At 48.4% G+C, this 19,515-nt stretch overlaps 1 protein-coding gene across 1 annotated transcript in view, besides 2 other annotated features; it reads right to left on the bottom strand.

The window, feature by feature from the left end:
• The window catches only part of GPR26 (G protein-coupled receptor 26), a 31,045-nt gene continuing 12,962 nt past the window's right edge, over positions 1,433-19,515 (bottom strand). Inside the window, exon 3 of the mRNA NM_153442.4 lies at positions 1,433-10,903. Coding sequence (NP_703143.1) covers positions 10,672-10,903 — 232 coding nt within the window. The 3' untranslated portion in view covers positions 1,433-10,671. The remainder of the gene's footprint in view (positions 10,904-19,515) is intronic.
• Positions 14,205-14,705: an enhancer, noted in NCBI's record as "H3K4me1 hESC enhancer chr10:125443643-125444143 (GRCh37/hg19 assembly coordinates)". NCBI's record gives its function as "activates a minimal SCP1, AML or CMV promoter by ChIP-STARR-seq in primed H9 embryonic stem cells {active_cell/tissue: H9 hESC(primed)}" and the evidence as "EXISTENCE:reporter gene assay evidence [ECO:0000049][PMID:30033119]".
• Positions 14,706-15,206: an enhancer, noted in NCBI's record as "H3K4me1 hESC enhancer chr10:125443142-125443642 (GRCh37/hg19 assembly coordinates)". NCBI's record gives its function as "activates a minimal SCP1, AML or CMV promoter by ChIP-STARR-seq in primed H9 embryonic stem cells {active_cell/tissue: H9 hESC(primed)}" and the evidence as "EXISTENCE:reporter gene assay evidence [ECO:0000049][PMID:30033119]".

Here is a 19,515-nt window from a genome sequence, read left to right as displayed (position 1 = left end):
CACTATGGGTGTGAACAAGGTTAGGGATCCCCAGCCCAGTCCCCTCATCCACAATCTCTCCCATGCCTGCCTTTACACCCCCTCTATGGAGACAGAGTGCTATCTAAAAAGACAGCACTGAGGCTGACTGGCAATGTTGACTGTGCGGCTAACCCTGTGTCAAGTGCTGTTCTGAGTGCCTGAAGCATGATGACTCAGTAGTGATGCTAGCCGGTGTTATCCACAAGGAAACTGAGGCATAGAGAGGATAAGTCACTAATTCTAGGTGGTACAGCCAGTTAGTGGCAATGCTGGTAATTTGATCATGTGTGCTCTGGTTCTTAGTCGCTGTTCATGTTAGGATATTAATTTTATGTTAATTCTTTGGCTGAGAAGGAAGTACTGTCCTAAGGAAGCAGTAGCTGAGGCCTGGGGGACCCCAGTCCCGTGAGAGCCACTGTGATGTGGATTGGGCCTCTGGTGTCTGCAGATGTGAGGCACCTGCTATGTGCTTTATGTGCCATGCTGATTTAATCCTCACAAGACCTTGAGGAATAGAGGGTCCTTCTCCCCATTTGGAGGGGAGGAAATGGTGCCACAGAAAGGGGAATGTGCTAGGATAGAAAGAGGCAAATCTGATATTTGAACCAGAAAATAGTAGAGAGTTTTGAAAGAATGGAGTAACTTGCCTAAGATCCTAGGACTTATAAGTTCTAGTATCTGATATCAGGAAGTCAGTTCCTTCTTTAGGCGTCAGTCTCCCCAGCTGTAAAAGAGAGGCCTTTGCTGAATCATCTCTAAGTTCAGGAAGCGTCTTCATGGATTTGGTAAAAATAGGAGTTTAGTATCAGTCACACCTGGGTTCAAATCTCTATGCCCCCTTACTGTGTGATCCTGGGCAAGTCATTTAACCTCTCTGAACTCAGTCCCTGCATCTACTAATTGAGAAGCCCCACCTCTGGAGCTCTATGAGAAACTATAGCCAAGACCCCTAGCAAAGTGCCAAGCACACAGCAGGCAACCAAGAAGTCTGGTCCTCCTTCTCCCAGGCCCCTCCTACTCTGTTTCTGAGATCCAAGAAGTTAATTAGTCATCTAGCAAAGCCTGAGGAACTGGGCCAAAGTGGCAAAAATTGCAAGGTATTTGAAAGGGTGGGGAATACGCATCCCCCTGGTCAGGGGTGTTTGGGAAGGGGAGGGCTGCTGTGGTTTTGGGCAAGTTAAGAGATGGACCCCCAAAGGATGAATACCTACTACTCAGAAGGCTGCGGGGGTGGGCAGGAGCACCTGGGGCATTGGAAATGGGAGAGAAAAGGGGTACAATATTGGAAGACAGGAAAGAGAAGAAATAGAAACTTTGGTGTCACCATGAAATTACGTGGAACTAACATTTCTGGCAATTAACCTGTACCTTAAAATGTGTTTACATCAGGTCATCAAAAGTGTGCAAGAGATTTTATAACAGGAGGCTTTATTGGACAGAATCACAATATATACTTTTTCCCTGTATTAACCATCAATTCTATCATAAAAATATATTACAGCATTTGATATGTATCCACAAAACACAAACCATTGTAAACAGAGCAGGCAGCATTGGCCTTGGATTCAAAATTCTTGAGTCCCATTTCAACAGAAAACAGCTGTTGGCAAGTGGATTACACAGAAGGTAATATTGCCGTATTGGGAGGGCTTCTGGTAATACTAAAAAAATGGAGCCATACTTATGTTTAATAGATTAGAAGAAAGTAAATGTAAAACTACAATGTTGACACACATGAGAGGATGCTAAACTTTTGCTTCATTTGTTTTCTACTCCGAGTGTAGCTGTTTGTGTTCATGAACATTCACCCACATGCATATAATCACGGGCACACAAACATTCACCCATATGCATATAATCACGGGCACACAAACATATACCCATATGCATATACTCATGGGCACACAAACATTCACCCGTATGCATATACTCATGGGCACACAAACATTCACCCATATGCATATGCTCATGGGCACACAAATATTCACCTATATGCATAAAATCATGGGCACACAAACATTCACCCATATGCATATGATCACGGGCACACAGACTTATGGGAGCACAGGGTTATGGGCACATTCACTCCAACACAAACACACAGATGTCCCACCCATTTTCCTAAGAGTCTGACATTAAGGGATTGCAACATTGTACAGAAGCCAATCATTTGCAGGTCACTTTGTCCCCAGGAAAGAAATATCTTTTATTTTTCTAAATCCTGGTTTCCAAAAGTATTCTTGATGTGTGCAAATAAATATAAAGTGCATTTCCATATTGAATGCTAAACCAGCTGGCACATACCTTAGGTTTCCTTAACTGGACTCCCTTCTATCATCTACTAGCCACTCTCTGGATGCCCCAAGCTATGGTTGGTGTGAGTTCCCCACCCCACTTTTCACAGACATGAAAAAAATAGAATCTATGAAAATTCAAGGAATGTAAAGAATTGGTGTTCAGTGCCCTCATTACTAGGAGCCTCCAGGAGGACTGAGGATAGCATTTAGCCAGCTGTCCTCTCACTAAAGGGAAGGGATGGTTCTCCCATTGGACACTGGGCAGAGTAAAGCCTCCGTGTGGCGAAATGAGTGTGTTCCATGAAGAAGGACGGACAGGAGTGGCTAAAGTTGTCTACTGGCATCCACTACACACGACATACTATGGCAGAAGGAGAGATCTATGCATTCCTAGGAGCTTCCTCACCAAACACCAGCATTAATAATGCACATCCAGATGGCAGGATTTGATCCTTCTCCCAGATGAGCCTGTGAAAATTAAATCTGGCCTATTCTGGTGTCTAGAAAAACCACCCCAGGTGGTAATGGGCATCAGGCAAGGCACCTTTTTAATTTGTGCTGTTTGTGATCCAGAGTTAGCCATTTTCCCCTGGGGAAATCCTGATGGGGTTGGTGGCACACCAGACTCCGCAAATGTTTCTGCACTCCAAAAGAGGTTGTATTTACATGTTTGTTGTAAAACAGGAGTGTTGAGGTTTGGAACAATTTCAGCTTGCAAGGGAACTTGACATTCGAAGGTTGTTAGAGCAGAGAGTTTGGTTACTATTAATAATTCAAGCAAAGATTTGGTAATACATGAGTTGAGTGCAAAGCAATGTCAAGCTGAGTCTTTTGGTGCAGGGTGTTTGGTATTTCAGCCGATGCATGAGCAGTCACTATGGTCTGGTCCTTAGGAAACTGACCATCTTGGGTCACCCAATCAATTGAGTGTCAACGTGATGGCATCCAATGCTCCCCCGACATCAAACCCAATCCCTGAGGATTGTCCGGGATAAGACTGAAGCCTTGCGCCTTGATGGTGATACTCTTAACTCTCACAGTTAAGAGTAGACTTCCTCTCTCCAAATACAGATTTTAGGCTCTTGAAACCATCAAATCATGGGCTTTGGCTTCTATTAAAGATGTGCAACAATTCTTCCGTGCCAGGGAATGAGTACAACAGTGACATGCTGAGCATGCATGAGAGGACACAGGAAATACCACACGCTGGTGTTCCTAAGAACACACGCATGCCCCAAGGGGTACACATCGTCTTTTGAGTTAAAAATCCAAATTACTTTAAAAGTCCTTAAATATGGGTATACGTGATGAACTGGAACACTGCTAAGATTGATTAGACTCATCAAATTTGACCTTTAAATGCTAGATGCTATTTACATGACACACTGTACGGGCAACACCCGGAGATAGGTGTGGGAGTGAAGGGAGGGTGATTGAATTGCCAAGTAGCATGAGGACAGCTTTTGCCAACTGCTTGTTTCTGCTGTGTGGATTTTTCCGTTTGTCCTGGGGGTATGTGGCAGTGCCCATCAGGACCCTGCATTGATATTAAATGTGTGGCACTCCCTACCGAAGACAAACATTCGAACCCTTCAGGATATTGTCAGAAGATGGGCCCTGGCTGGTGTGGTTGGTTTCTTAAGAGTGAATTATGCTTCCCTCCCCACGCTGTGTAATGAAGATGCCCCTCAAAATGAATGAGATTCATTTTCCTTCCTCCTTTCTCTCCTTTCTTCCTTCCTTCCTTCTTCGTTCAACTTCCTAGGGAATCTGCATCAGGAGAAAGAAGTGGCTAGGACTCCTTCCTTCCTTCTTTTTCTTTTCCTTCCTCCCCTCCCTCCTTCCTTTTTTCCTTCCTTTCTTCTTTCCTTCCCTTTTTCTCCTTCCTTTGTTTTTCCTTCCTTCTCTCCTTCTTCCTTCCTTTGCCATTCTTCCTTCTCTCTTCCTTCTTTTCTGTCTTGCTTCTCTTCTTATTTCTTTTCTTTCTTCCTTCTCTTTTTTGGTAGCTAAAAATATATGGATTTTCTCCATGTCCTCTCTTTCTAAAAGAGACCTAATTCTTATATTCCCAACCTCAAGACTTCTATCATCTCCCACTGGCCACAGATCATCATCACGTTCAGCCCATCTCAAGGGGCACTTGCCCTCCCCTCTCAGCCCTCACCTGACACCATCTCTGGACCCACACTGAGCTCTGTCACCACTGGACCCCTCACCAGGCAGGCTCCCATCTCCTCTGTGCCTTGCCACATGCTCTTCCCTACTGTAAGTTCTGGCCCAATGCCACTACCTCTGAGAAGCCTTCCAGAACCCTCCTTTCCCACCAGCTAAGTTCTCCAGCCCTCCCTCTGTACCCCCACAGCACTGAGTACACACTTCCAGGGCAGCCCCGCTTCCCACACTGCAGAGTAATGACCTGTCTCCCCCAGAGCCTGACAAAGCACAGGGCCTGGCACACAGTAGGTGTTCAGTAAATGTTTGGAGAGTGACAGGCAAGTCTGCTCATAGTTCTGGACCACAGCCTGCAGCTGCCACATGCCACCCTCCCAGAGGCTCCAGGACTCCGCTCCTCTGGACCCCTGACAGATCTCTTCTTCTGCACAGTGATGTCGTGGCCAGGCTGAGCGAAGCCACTGTGTGTCCTAGCCGCTTCTTTCTCCTGATGCAGATTCCCTAGGAAGTTGCACGATTGTGTTCCTTGGGACCTCTGATTCCTCCTTTCTAGACAGTCAACCCCCAAATGTGTCTGGCTCCTGCTCTTTCACTCCGCATTTGTGGAATGAGGTGTGAGGAGGCAGGAGCAAGCCTGGAGTTCCTGCCACCTTCCTTTGACCAGGCCAGAACTTAGGCCACAGCAGAGCAAAGGCAGCTGGCCTGGGGTTGGACTAACTTTTTGGGGGCTAATAGGCCATTGGTCTGGGGAGACAGTGTGAGCCAGCGGGGAAGTTGGGGAACTTACAAACCACACTGCTCTCATACCACTTTCTCTCCTGAATCTGCAAGAACAGACCGTAGAGGCCAAGCTCCACCCAGCCTCTCCCCGAATCCATCTCAGCCCAGGTTCCAGAGCCAACACCAGGGCCCTCTAAGTCAGTTCTCCCGGCTGCAAGGTGCAAAGAGGTCCACTTTGGTGCCAGGGGAAATGCTGGGTCCTACTGATGCTCCTGGGGGCTGCTGGCCCAGAGTTTCAGGGAAATCTAGGCTGACAATGAGCCTCACACACTAAAACAATTAGATAGATTCCCTGTCGGCACAAAGGACTTGTGAGCCGTATGTTCTGGGCACAGAGGTTGCTGCAAAGCTTCTTCCCTCAGAATTCCCCTAGAAACACATACAAAGTAAAAGGAGTCTGGAGAATTCCTTCCCAAGCAAGTGGCAGCCATATGACGGGAGAGGTCCCAACGCCCAGCTGGTGGGTATGGGTGTTAGCACAGGAGCTGAGAGTAAGGGGCTGTTTCCTAATGGCAGAAAAACATCTGCTGAGCCTAGAGCTGCCCAGAGTGAGGTGCAGGGGATTTCATGGAGAGATCAGTTTTGTCCCTCTGAGAACAAAATGGCCCAGTCCCTGAATAAAACTGGAGATTGAACCGTTTGGAGAATTAGGGAAAGATACAAGACAATTGAAACTTAGATACTTATTAATAGAAACACTCAGTTTCCCCATGGTCACTGGTCCACCCTCCTTGAGAGCCCTGCCCTGTTTTGCATTCTCCCCAAAACCTCCCTGTCTCCAGGACTTTCAAATCCTCCCAGATGTGTAACGTAGAGATAATAACAGCACCTACATCAAAAGATTATGATGAAGATTAATGGGAAACACTACCCCTAAACCCTGATCTCAAACAACTTTCTCCCCTGAACCTGCAAGCGCAAACTGCAGAGGCCAAGCTCCACCCACCCTCTCCCCAGGTCCGGCCCAGCCCAGGTCCCAGAGCCAACACCAGGGCCCTCCATGTGAGTCCATAGCCTGATGTCTAGTCTTTCCTCCATACCCACCAGCTGTTAGGACACTGTCATTACTGGCTGCTCCAAGTGACCTGGAAGGGTCAGCCACACGGGATGAGCTGGGAGCCAACAAGAGACCCACACCCAGATACTGGCATGGAGAACTGTCTCTCGCTGACCTTGCCTCAGCCTGGCTCAGCTCCTGTGTGTGAGGCTGGCTGGGAAGAGGGCAGGACAAGCTCTGGGTAGTGGCAGAGGTGGCAGATGTCATCACCTCCCACAGCCAGGCTGCCCCAGTAGAGTTTGATCCAAGACCCAAGCAAGTGCCCCCAAGGGGACACCTCTGAATGCCAGAGTTCCTTCCTCTAACAAGGCTTCCTGGCTCAGAGCCAGCCAGCTCTGCCATCCTCTGCCAGTACCCCAAATATATCTCATCCTTATGACCTGGAGCCCCATAAAAAGGAATGAAGATGGGTTTTTGCAATTTCATGGAGAGGTCAATTTTGTCCCTCCAAGAACAAAATGGCCCAGCCATTGAATAAAGCTGGAGATTGAACTGTTTGGAGAATTAGGGAAAGATACAAGACAATTGAAACCTAGATAGTTATTAATAGAAACACTCAATTTTCTATAGAGTTTATCCAAGTGTCTAAGATCATTTCTCCTTAGGGGATGGTTTGAAGAAAACTCCTATCAGTTACCTGGGCATCGATGATTAAAAGTGCGGAAACCCAGGTCCTGCCTGGCCCTGCTGAAATTGATCTCTGAGGAGGGGATGCTGGAATCTGCATCTTAAACAACCTTCCGTGGTGACTTCTGTGAATAATTTAAGAGCTAATGGCTCCCTTCCAGACACATGAAGCCCTAAATATGACTCGGACCTCTTTTTCCCATGATGCTCCCCGTCCAGAGGATAGGAGCTGACCCAAGGGATTCCTGGCACCTGATATAATATCCTCATTAAACTCAGGCAAGCTAGTTTATCCTGCATCTGGGCTAAATTCTAACAATGCACAGCCTTTGGTTCCTCCAAGGGTCACACTGTAGCCATGGGAAGGCCTCATCTACCTGCACCCAAGCATGTAAAAGGGTGACAACTGGGACATGAACCTGGCCCCATTCTTTCTATCTTTTCTTAGAAAGAAAGGCACCATGAAAAAGAAAACGAATTTCACAGACATAAGGAGAGAGTTTTATTGCTCATGGGGACAGGAGGCTGAGCTGAGTGCTAGAAGAGATAGAGTTGGTCTGAGATGGTTCAAATCCATTTCCCCTCCTGCCCAAGCCTGCTTTCTAAGTAAAAACAGGCAGGTGATTGGTGAGCCATCTTTGAGAGGCGAGCTGACCATGAGACAAACCCTAAATACCAGGGCACACATGCAAATGGACGTTCCCTTTGGAGGTCCCTCGGCTGTAAAATCCCCTCCCTCAGAAAGGTGCCATATAAAAAGCCGGAATAGTTGCAGCGTGACTTAAAAAGGCAAATTCTGATTGTGTAGGACTAGGAACTCAGCCCTATATGTGGATTTAGGAATTTGAAAGCCCCTCCTTTATGGCCTTATTTTCAAGCTTCTTGAAAGATTTCTACCCAGTCCAACAGTTCACCAGAGTTTGGGCCTTAAAGGTCAAGTCTCACCCTGGAGTGAAGTCAAGCAAGTAATTTTAGTTTGATTCAGATGCTGAAAATCTTGGTGTTTCTATGTGTTATACCTGAGAAAACAATGTTACCTTTGATAAATTAAATTAACAAAATGAGGTAGATAATTCAATTGGGAGTAATAAAGCCAGGGGGCAAATTTGATAGACTGTATAGAGATGAAAATAAACATTTATCTAAAGGTAATTACAGCAGAGTTGGCTAACACTGGTTGCTAATACATTAATTTTCTTCTCACTTTCCCTTGGGATTTAATTCATGTGTCCAAATAATAATGAAAATACCCAATCAATGGATTTATCTGGAGTTTTTGTCTACGTGATGTCGGTACAATTGGTTTTAGAGGTATAGTGAAAATTATGAAAAGCATCTTTTCAAGATATGTGGTGTTGTGGGTGACAGATCTTGCTTCTTGGCTAAAGAAGAGGTAAAAGAGATCTAGTTGCTACTGGGAGTACAACATGTTGCCTATACAGTACAGAGAAAGCAGAAAGAGCATGTGCCACAGTTATTCTCCCAAAGTGATATTGATGAAAATGTATTTTGCTGCTGGAATTTGGCTGTTGACTGACCTCACGCACTGGGCCACTTTTGCCCAACTTTGAAAGCGTTTGTGTGAGAAGGGAGCTACTCTCCTCCAATTCAGCTGTGCATCCTGTCTTGGCTTCTGCTGGTTTTCAATCCCACTGGTTCCTCTGGGGTTGGGATGTTGGAGGGTGCACAGTTACTTGCCACCAGGAAGCAAATGTCTGTTGCTATTGTAATATGAGTGGCCAAAGGAGCTCTGAGCCAGAGCAATTTTGTTTCAGGGACACACACAGTCATGTCTGGCAGTGGTGTGCTAGTAGATGTTTCACAATCAGCTCTCTGTGGGGCAAAAGGCCTGATTTACAGCACTTGCTGATTTTCATGGTATAAACACTCCCACCGTGGCTGACTTCAGCTACCGACATGATGCCCCAGATCATGAAATTGGGAAGGATTGTGCCCCATTGGCTTCCCCAAGCAGATATGAGCCCATCTCTGACAGCAACTGCAAGATGCCAAGGCCTCCTTGGAAGCTACACCTGTCTCCATTCTAGTCTCCATGGTAACTTTGAAACTAGACAAGACTAAGCCAGGTGAATTGTTTTCTAACTGAGGAGCTAAGAGTTAATAAGACGTCTTTTCAAATAAAGATGCAGATACTTCTCTGCCTTTAAAAATTGGGACTGCCTAGAAGTAAAAACCAATAGACTCTTCACTTCCTTCCCGTTGGACCACATCCTTCCTTCTATACCTCCAAAGTTAGGATGTAAAGAGCTGGAAGGAGAGAATGAGCCATCTGATTCCATTGCTCCCCGTGCTTCCCACCCTGGAGGAATCACTTAGAGTGGAGGATTGAAAAATAACTGCTCTGAGTATTCACAAGTCAATTTGAAATGGTAGACAAAGAAGAGATGGCCAGAAAGCAGGGGTGGCTCTCCTTGGTTTTTATTAAATCAAGTCAGGACTGCTAACAGATTGGCATGTGTTTTATAGGTGCAGTATTCCATAAAAATTTCACTGTCTCTAATCACTTGAACCTGGAAGGCAGAGGTTGTGGTGAGCCTAGATCGCACCATTGCACTCTAGCCTGGGCAATAAGAGTGAAACTCCCATCTCGAAAAAAAAAAAAAATTCACTGTCTCATCATTAGCACAGGGCACTTTCTTGATAACCTTGAATAGCCTCTACTTTCTGTTAACAGGCTTACAGAAACTAAGGAAATGGAGGTGCCAGGACAATGGAACCCAGTGACTTAAAATCAAGGCAAAAATCCCTGCTCAGGCCAGTTCTTGCCCATCCATCTCCCAGGACATGCCAGATAAGATGCATAAGACAAGTTGAAACACTTCCTGTAAATTCAGGTCACAAACAGGGGGAAGGGAGGACCAACCAGCCACCTTCCTCCTACCTTTACTGAGCTCCAACAATTAGGACTTGTAAATCAGAAAAAGGTGACCTCCCAGTCAAACTTGAAAGAACCTAATACATGTAGGACCAGCCTATTTAAACCATTTTCATGCTAAGATTGTCTGCACACACAAACATTCGCTTTTAGGGGGAAGGAGAGGACTAAAGTTGAATCCAATTGACCATTTCTAAGACAACTGGTCAGCAGCAATTGGGCAGCCACTAGTTGTGAAACATTTTCCCTCAGGCACAGAGCCCAAGAGTCCCAGCTGGGCACAATGTCGTTAGTACCAGCTGAATAATATTTGGGTTGAAGCAGCCACCACTACCCTGTGGAGACGAGGTGCCATGTTAGATCCGGGCCAAATGACCACTGCCAGCCTCCCTTTCAGCATGGCTGAAATGTCCCCTGGAGACTGTCACTTTTCTTCAGCATGGAGCAGCGTCCAGTGGTCAGCAGGCAGGTGGACACCATGCTTCCCACCTACCACCAGCTCTCTGCATCCTTGACAGTGACAGAACTGAGTGTCATCCCCCAGGGAGCCTCAGGTGAGTCCAGGAGCTCAAAGCAGCTTCTTAGAAAGAAAGGCCAGCACACGGCCTACAGTCATCCTTTGGTGACAAATAAGGAGTGTCCAATATCTGCCCTTGAGGAACCAGGAAGCAGGCTCTGGAGCCCCTACAAGCCAGGGAACCAGGATCACTGGGCATGCCAGGGACTGGTGGCTGGTGGTGTCCACCCAGGGGCCCCCACGCCCTCCCACCCTTCTTCTCACCGCTGCCTCATTCTAAACTCTTCAGCAGGAGCGCGGTCCTTCACTCAGACACCGGCAGAATGTTCTGGCTGTGAGAGTCGCCTGTGAGGCCAGAGGAGTGGATGGAGCGTCTGTGCAGGAGCCTGTTCAGAATCTCCTTGCAGCTTTTGCGGTACTGGTGTCGCAGTAAGGAGTACACAAAGGGGTCGGATGCGGCCTTGCTGTACGCCAAGCACTTGGACAGCACCCCCCAGTGGGAGCCGATGGGCACCGTGGAGAAGAGCTCCACTAGCCTGTGGAGAGACAGGGAAGCTGTTAATGAGGACATAGCTAAGCACCGCTGGGAGTGGCCATGGGCCAGGGCCTGTCTGTGCCCTGCAGACCACGGTTTCGCAGCCCAACCCTCAATTTATCTGAGACTGCCTCCTCAAATAACAATAACAGTTTACACCAATGATGATGATGGTGAACATTCATCAGGCTGTATTTTATTCTACACACTGTGTTAAGCACTTTCCATATGTGGTTTTGCTGAGCCCTGGGAGATATGACCATCTCTGTTTTACATGCAAGGAAACAGATGTCCCAGGAGGTTAGATACTTTGCCCAAGGTCACATGGCCAGTAATTGTAAAGGCAGAATTTGAACCTAGGTCCGTCTGACTCTGAAATCCAAGCTGCACTGAGAACCCAGCTATTAGCTAATAGCTGGCTGTCTTGGCTTTGGCGCCAACTCTGCTGCTGACTTGTCATATGGTCCTGGGCATCTCTGTTCACTCCTTGGACCTGCATGTCTCATGTGAAAAACAAAAAGGTGGGACAATATCGTCTCAATGATCTTTTAACTAGAAGAGTCTGGTCCCATTGTTTGCTTCCGATCCTGGCTCTGTGTTCCTAAGGAAGTTGCATGGAAGGAAGGGCTCAGAACAATTTTGAAAACATTTTGCAAAGCTCAAAGTATGTCATGCACAGGAAAGAATGCTGGCAAGGAAGGCCTCTTCCCTGGGTTCGGATCCTGGTGGTCTTTGACAATAGCCGCGGTCAGGTGATCCTAAAGGGACCTTCATTCTTTGGGGGAGGGCAAGGAAAGACACAGCCCATGTATCTTAGAGTCCTCTCGGTGCCACCAGACAGCTCCAGGCAAGGGTGCTAATACCATGTTATGAGGTCAGGGAAAGCCTTCAACAGAATTCTACCCTCCACCCAAATCAGGCCATTTACTCTCTCAAGTGTGTCCAGCACCCTTGGCCATATTTGGACATTATCCAGCATTAACATGAAATAGAAAAGACCCACAGAGCTGGGAGAGAGTCTGGAGATCATATAACACTGTCTCCTCCACCCACTGTCATATGAAAAAATTGAGGCCCAGAGAGGGAAAGGGGTTGCCAGATATCACACAGCAAGTCAGTGGCCATGGAAGGTGCAGCACCTGTACTCCCCTCTGACTGGGGGTCTAGTACCTGTATTCTACCTGGAGTACCTGCAGATAGAAGGCGGTGGTGGCTCTCAGCTTGGGGATCTGGCCAGGTGAGGACCCAGGTACAGAAAGAACTGAGCTTGAGCTGGAACTCAGTGCTTCTATCTTTAATTGGTTATACTTAAGCCTTCTTTGGGCTGTAGAGCTGGCGAAGAGGAGGAGGAGGAAGCTGGTGGAGTGTGATTCTCCACAGAAATGCCCCTTTCTGGAACAGGCTCTCAAGGAGTCCACTCTGAGGACCCTCTAGTTAGCATCCCATTTTCAGCACCACTGTCTACCTTTGCCCTCTGACCCTGTGGGGGACTGTGGCTATGTCTCCTCTCATATGCTTGGGAGCCTGAATGGGGAAATGGAGCTGTGAACACTTAGGAAATCTATACTTTAAAGAAATCTATTTTGAGAAGTGATGAATTCAAAGGGACAAAAAAACCTGAATTTAGAATTCACACCTAATAATAACAATGAATTAGCTGAATGCCAACACATTGTTGCTATGCGATGCCAAATTGCTTTTTCAAAATGTCTATAGTTTTTTATACCTTGCTAAATTCAGGCTTAGCATTTTGGCTCTCCCAAAAGGATTTATTGAAAGAACCAGATATCATCAAACCATCCAGCAAGATCAAAATTGTTATTTGCAGGCTCTGTAGATTTCACAGAATAAAATTATTCAAGACAATCTAAAATTTCACCATTTAGATAATTAAGAGGTAAAATCTATTGCATTTCCTTCTCAGAGATTTCATGGCAAGTCTCAGCTCTCCACCTGGCTCAGACATCGTAATTCCCAGTTGAGTGTCTCCTTTGGGCCGAGCACTTATGTGTACAATCTCTAACCGTACAATTATCCAGCAGAATGAGAATCATTATTCCCACTTTACAGGTGAGGAAATTGAGGCTCAGAGAGATGAGCAGCAAGTCAGGGTCTCCTGCATGGGAAGCCCAGCTCCATCTAACTGCAGTCCAAGTCCTGGCTAGTGGCCACGCCAAGATGTGAATCTCAGCATTGCAGACATGACAAAGGAAGCTCTGGGGTCCCTTCCGGCTCCAAGAACCCCTTTCCCATGAGGTCACTATATGCTGTCTGGAACTTTTGTCACTTGCCCGTCCACACTGTGCACAATGACAATTTCTGCTTTGAAAAGCCAATGTCTGGCCTTTATCAGGGCCTCCAAGCAAAGAGATGCTTTGGCTGAATACAGGCCTGGACACTGCTGCCACGTGGCCACTGGCGGGGGGTAGCTGGGATGCCCCCTCCAGGCCCGGCTGTGGCTGGCTGAGCTGCTTTCTCGCGGCCCCATGCAGGTGGTTCCCTGCGCCTGCCGTGGCTGGCTGCTGGCTATGCTCCACACTAGCTCTGACAGCCCCCAGCTCCTTTCGTTGATGAGAAGAGGCAAGGGTTTCGATATTGCCACAACGACTTCTTTCTAATTCCAGATCCGGGCAGGCATCTGGATGAGCACCAGATCCCTTCCAGATGACCTTTTAGAGAGGGACAATTCAGTCCATGTTTTCCTGCCAGATCTAGCTCTGCTCACCCCTTCCTTGTGCCCTTCCCTCCAGGAAAGGGGCATTACAATTCTGCCCAGTCACATGTCAGTAGTGGGCAGGGTCACAGTGTGCTAAAGGGAGCCTCTCCTCCTCCGTGTTGTCAGTTTATTTAATGCCTTTCCCCCTCCACAGTCAAAGTTAGTGGATGGTCTCAGGACGGGACGTGGGAGGCAGGCAGCTCGCAGAGCAGAAGTCTCCAGTGTAAGGCCCTATCTCCTGCTCAGTTCTGGCAGAAAGCCCTACAGTGAGGGGTTATTGGGCTCAGGTGTTGACAGAGCACGACTTGGCTTCCTTTTGTCATGGCCCCCATTGAGGGTTGAATTGCATCTCCCCCAAAAATTCACATGTTGAAGTCCTAACCCCTAGTGTCGGAATGTGATCCTACTTAGAAATACGATTGTTTCAGATACAAATCAGGTCATAATGGAGTAAGGCGGTCCCCTAATTCCGTACTATTGGTGTTCTCATAAAGGCAGAAACTTGGACAGAGACACACACACAGGGTGAGTGCCGTGTGAACACGAAGGCAGAGATCAGAGTGAGACATCTGCAAGCCAAGGAATCCAAAAATGGCCAGCAAACCACCAGGAGCTCGGGGAATGGGTGGAGTGAGCTCTTCTTCACAACCCTCAGAAGGAACCAACACCTTGATCTTGGACTTCTGGCCTTGGGAACTGTGAGAGGTCTTTCTGTGTTAGAGCCGCTCGGTTTGCGGTACTCTGTTACGGCAGCCCTAGCAAACCAAGATGCCACCTGAAGAACCCCATGGGGAGCAGGGGAGGCTGTGTGGTTGTGTGGTTGTTCTGGGGACCCCTGGCCATAACAGCATCAACCAGCCCCACCCCACTCCTAGAGCACGTGTATGCCAAGGTCAACCCTGGAGATCTGACAAAGATTAGCAGCCCCAGGAACAGGGTGCCGCCCCTTGCCACCCTCTAGAAATTAGGGCCTGTCCCCACAAACATCGCTGCCTGCCACCTGCCCAGACCTTCCACTGAGCACAAGATGACTTTCCGTGTGCTCTCTGGGACATGAGGCTCCATTCGGGGGAAACGTTCATGCTTATGTGCTCAAAAGGCTCACATGCCTGCCCTGACACAGCTCCCCCCGGAAAATCCCCTGGGGTTAGGTCCACACCCTCGGTCAGCAGATCAGGTTGGGGGAGGGGATGGAGCTGGGGAGAGGCCGGGATCCCCTCTTCCAAGCATGTCAGGGGATTCTGACACAAGAGCCCAGCCCCTATGGAAGCCTGGGGTGTGTGGGTTTGGAGAGGATACAAAGTGCTGCAGGGCGCAGAGCTTGTGGATGAAAAGGAAGCAGAGCACAGAGATGTGTATTTTTCTGACTTAGGGTGAGACACAGAGCAGATACCCACAGATCTTGCCAGACCCCCAAACCCTGTGTGCTTGTACTCCTATGTTCTGACAGCTGTCCAGGGAACTATTCCATGGAGCCATGCCTCCTCTCTCAGTGACAAGCCCCTCTGATGTGGGGGACTGGCGCATCTGAGCTGGCTGCCGCAGTCCAGGGCTGATGGAGATAGGAAGCTGCCCACCCTTGCTCCTCACCCATGGGGACCTCACATTCCCACCCAGCAGCCTAGGCAGTCCTGGTCCCGGGAGGCAGGAGGGAGGCATGTCTGCCAGAACTCCAAGGCCTTCTCTGAGCCTCTGGAGAGACCAGTGTCCTGATCTTGCTCCACAATGGGAATCCCCAAGGGAAGCAAGTTCCAAAGTGAGAACAGGACCATAACCCCTGCAGCCCCTGACCCAGCACCTCCTGTGGGCCCCCAGGGGCTCTGTGTCTCCTTAACTGCTTCACAGAGACCATCTCAGGACCCCAGTATCACTCTCCCTATGGTACAGAAGATGGAACCAAGGCAGAGAAGTGTCAAAGCTACACAGCCGGAACATTCAGGAACCAGGATTTGAAACTGGAAGGTGGGTGCCGGTGACCATGTGCCTTCCTGGTGCCAGGCTGCCCCACTGGCCTCCTTGACTCAGGTTCCCATTCCTCAGTGTGATCAAGCACCTGTACTTTCAAATCCTGAGTTTAAAGTGACAAATTAGCACCCTTTATTTACACCTTCTATACCACCATCATCTCTCCTCTCTTCTCTCTTCCTCTTTCCCTCTCTCACTCACACACACACACACACGTAAACACATGCACACACATACATACATACACATGTATACATACACACACACATACGTTGTGTACTAAATGCAACTTGGGCCACAGAACATTCCTTGGACAGCCAGCCCAGGGTCTTCCCAAGACTTCTGGAGAACTCAGCTTGTGTATTTGAAGACCTGCATATTTGAAGTAATGAGCTGATGCTTTAAATTTTTATGAGACAGAATGGAGAAGTCATTTTATTAATAGAATATCAATCTTTGGGAATCCCCTGCATATGAGACCCCTCTCCCATCTACACATTTTCCTGACTTTGAAAAGCCACAATAATGGTGCTGTCAGATTTTCAAGTGCCTCAAAGGCTGATTCCAATGATTTATGACAACCACAATTATTTGTAAGCGTAGATCGCTGTGGAGAGCATAGCCTTACAAATGCTTCCAGACATGTGGATTTTAATTCAGAAAATATGTCATTTGAGCTTTTGGATGAGAACCTGTTGTGGATGTGCAGGCCCTGCTGCTCAAAGACTCTGGGAAGAGTCCTCTGTGACCTAGGGCTTTGAGGACACAGAGCCTGTGTGACTGTGACTTGGAGGTGTCAGACTTCTATTAAGAGTGAAGGTGCAGCTTTGCAAATATGTTTCCCACTGTGGCCTCGTGTGCCCCAGTACACAAGTGCAGGCGGCTCTTTGGCTGGTAGAGTTGGATGTCCTGTCTTTCTGAGATGCCAACTGCATCTGCCAGTGGCTCTGGCTACCAGTGCTGATGGTCTCTTGGGAACTCCAGCTACATAAACTACTGTCAGTGACATGGGAGACTGGGGATGACTGCAGGGGAACCCACCAATTTTGCTAGAGAAACTCAAATGCCTGCTTCACTCACAGGAGCTTGGAGGCCATCTGAGTTCATGTCATGGTACTTATGCGTGGCCCTACTGGAAATCAGGCCGAAAACATACACATGTGGCTTCTCTGTGTTTCCAGCGCCTGCCCCAGTCTTTGGTGTTGTGGCATGGCCTAAAGGCTGAGTTATAGCCAACTGGCCTGACGCTGACCTTTAACTCTTGGCTCAGTCACTCCCTACCCATATGTCTTTGAGCAACTCATCTCACCTCTCTGAACTTCTGTGAGACCAGGATTCTAGCACTTACCTTGTTAAAGCTATCCCAGATGCAATAAGGTATGCACTGATAGCCCCAGGTGCTTGGCAGGTGTTCACTAAGTGACAGGTATGGTTATAAAGACTTCATGCTCTCCAATAGAAAGCTTGAGAACCTACAGGAACACTGGAATGTTTCTTTTAAACACTTGACCCAAGAATTATGCTTTCCTATCTGAGAAAGTTAACAGGCAAATGTGAAGAGAAGGGAATCCCCCGCCCAGCCAGTGGGATCTTCTCCATCAACTCAAAGGGGTGGCAGATATTACAGCAGAATCCTCCTCTCTTCCTCAATATCCTGGCCTCCCAGCTCCCAGCATTCCCAGCTGCCATCTGACGTCAACCTACACTCTTGACACGTCTCCATTTATAAGGTACAAGGCGGGTGGAAGCGGCAAGGCTGGCTGCCTAGATAGTCACTGGGGAGTTGTGGGGAATATTAGTTTCTGCGCTGACAGCTCAATGAAGGGTGTAAGTGACACATGAACAACTTGGTTTCAGTCATCTCGGAAACTGCAGCATTCCGTTTCTGAGTGGGTTGTGCCTCAACGTGTCTCCCCACATCCCTCTGGGAGGAAAGTAGGAACCTTTGCTTCTGCTGAGAGAAGAAGCAGAGCGGTCATTGTGAGGGGCTGGGCACGGCCGCCGGTTTCAGGCAGAACACTAGAACTGAGGCTGAGTCACTTGATGGAATTGGGGAAGGCTGGAACCTGACTGAGCCTCAGTTTCCTCATCTTTAAAATGGGAATGTTAGCGCCAGGCATGGTGGCTCATGCCTGTCATCCCAGTACTTTGGGAGGCCGATGCAGGTGGATTAGCTGAGGTCAGGAATTCAAGACCAGCCTGGCCAACATGGTGAAACCCCATCTCTACTAAAAATATCAGAATCACCCAGCCTGATGGTGCGCACCTGCAGTCCCAGCTACTCGGGTGGCTGAGGCAGGAGAATCACTTGAACCAGGGAAATGGACGTTGCAGTGAGCTGAGATCGCACTATTGCACTCCAGCCTGGGCAACAAAGTGAGACTCTGTCTCAAAAAAAACAAAAAAACAACCCCCCCCCCCAAAAAAACAAAACAAAACAAAAAAAACCCAAGAGAATGTTAACTAGGTGCAGAGGGTGTCTGGACAGCTTTGGTACAGCTTCAGGTACAGAGTGAGGACTTACAGGATTAAAAATGAAGGGACATTCCTGAATTAATTAAGGAGATAGAGCTTGTCCTTACTTTTCCTTTCTGAATTCCCCGGGATCAGCCTGTCACTGCCTTGGTGGGTTTTGATTTTTATTTCTATGGACAGTGAGGAGGCTGAGAACAATGAGGAGGTGCTGCATGCAAGGGAGACATCCTTCTGCCCAGGGGGCCCTGGAGCTGCCCAGTGGCATCTGCAGATGGGCTCAGGCTGCCTGGTTCCCTGAGTCTTCCTAGCTAAATGACCTGTGCAGTCTCTTTCCTCTCTGAGCCTTGGTGCCCCCATTTGCAGAGTGGAGCTCACATAGCTCACCCAGTCCATCTCTTGGGGGTGCTGTAGGGCCCAGGAGAAAAACACCTGAGCAAACTGTGGAGTGCTGTGGAAGGCACAGCAATGTCAGATCCAGCTGAACCTGTTGCGGTAATACATTTCTTAGCTCAAACAAGCTCCACCCAAGGGCTGCCTCCTGGTCCCCATTAATCCCATCTAGGCCAGGAGTCTCCCATCTCAGGGATCTGACTCGGAACAGGGTTCACACCTGCCACATCTTCTGTGTTGCCTCTTTAGTGCTGGGGCTGCAGCTGAGCTCAATGCCCCTGGGCCACCACCACTGAGCACCTGGCAGGTTGGAGGGATGCAGCTCGGGCTGCTGTTCTCAAGAGAGCCTGTATGTGCAGCCAAGGAAGTGACTTCCTCCATATGGAGCTCCAGAACTTTCCAGGACCTACCCCTGGATGTTCCCCCAGGCTTCTGCCTGCCCCAGGGCTGCAGTCCACGATTGCAGCTGCAGTGCAGTGGGCTGATGGGAGTCCAGGAGTATGACTCGCTCAGCAAGCCTCGGGAGATCTGCCTTGGGAGTGGGTAGAGGATCCTGGGGAAGGGGTTTGGGAGCACTCTCTGCATGCCATGGGCTTTAATGCCACAGCCACAGATCTACACAAGAGAGAAGGGGAGACCTGGGTCTGCAAAGACTCCCCAGAGGCCTCTGAGAGCCTGAGGGGCAGGTGGAGAGCCCAATGAGGTTGGAAGTCCAGTTCCACTGCTGACTAGATGCATAGCTCTGGGCAATTATTCAAACACTCCCTGACCCCAGTCCTCAGTTCCTCCAGCAGTAAAATGGGTTGGGATGCAATAGAGACATGGCTATCAGCACACTGGCAATTAGAATCATCTGAGGCGCCTTAAAGCCATCCATGCCCAGCCCCACACCAAGGGAGTCTAACTGAACTGGTTCAGTGTGAGGTCCAGATATGGATTTGGATGTAAAGCTCTCCAGGCGATTCTAACGTAAAGCCAAGTTGGTAAACCGAAGAAAAAATTCAAGCTTGCGTGCCTCTCCCAGCCATTCCTACCACTTTCCCGCTAATCCCAGCCTGGCTTCAGCA

Source organism: Homo sapiens, chromosome 10 (genome assembly GCF_000001405.40).
Source record: "Homo sapiens chromosome 10, GRCh38.p14 Primary Assembly".
NCBI lineage: Eukaryota > Metazoa > Chordata > Mammalia > Primates > Hominidae > Homo > Homo sapiens.
This window is presented reverse-complemented; position numbering and strand designations above follow the sequence as displayed.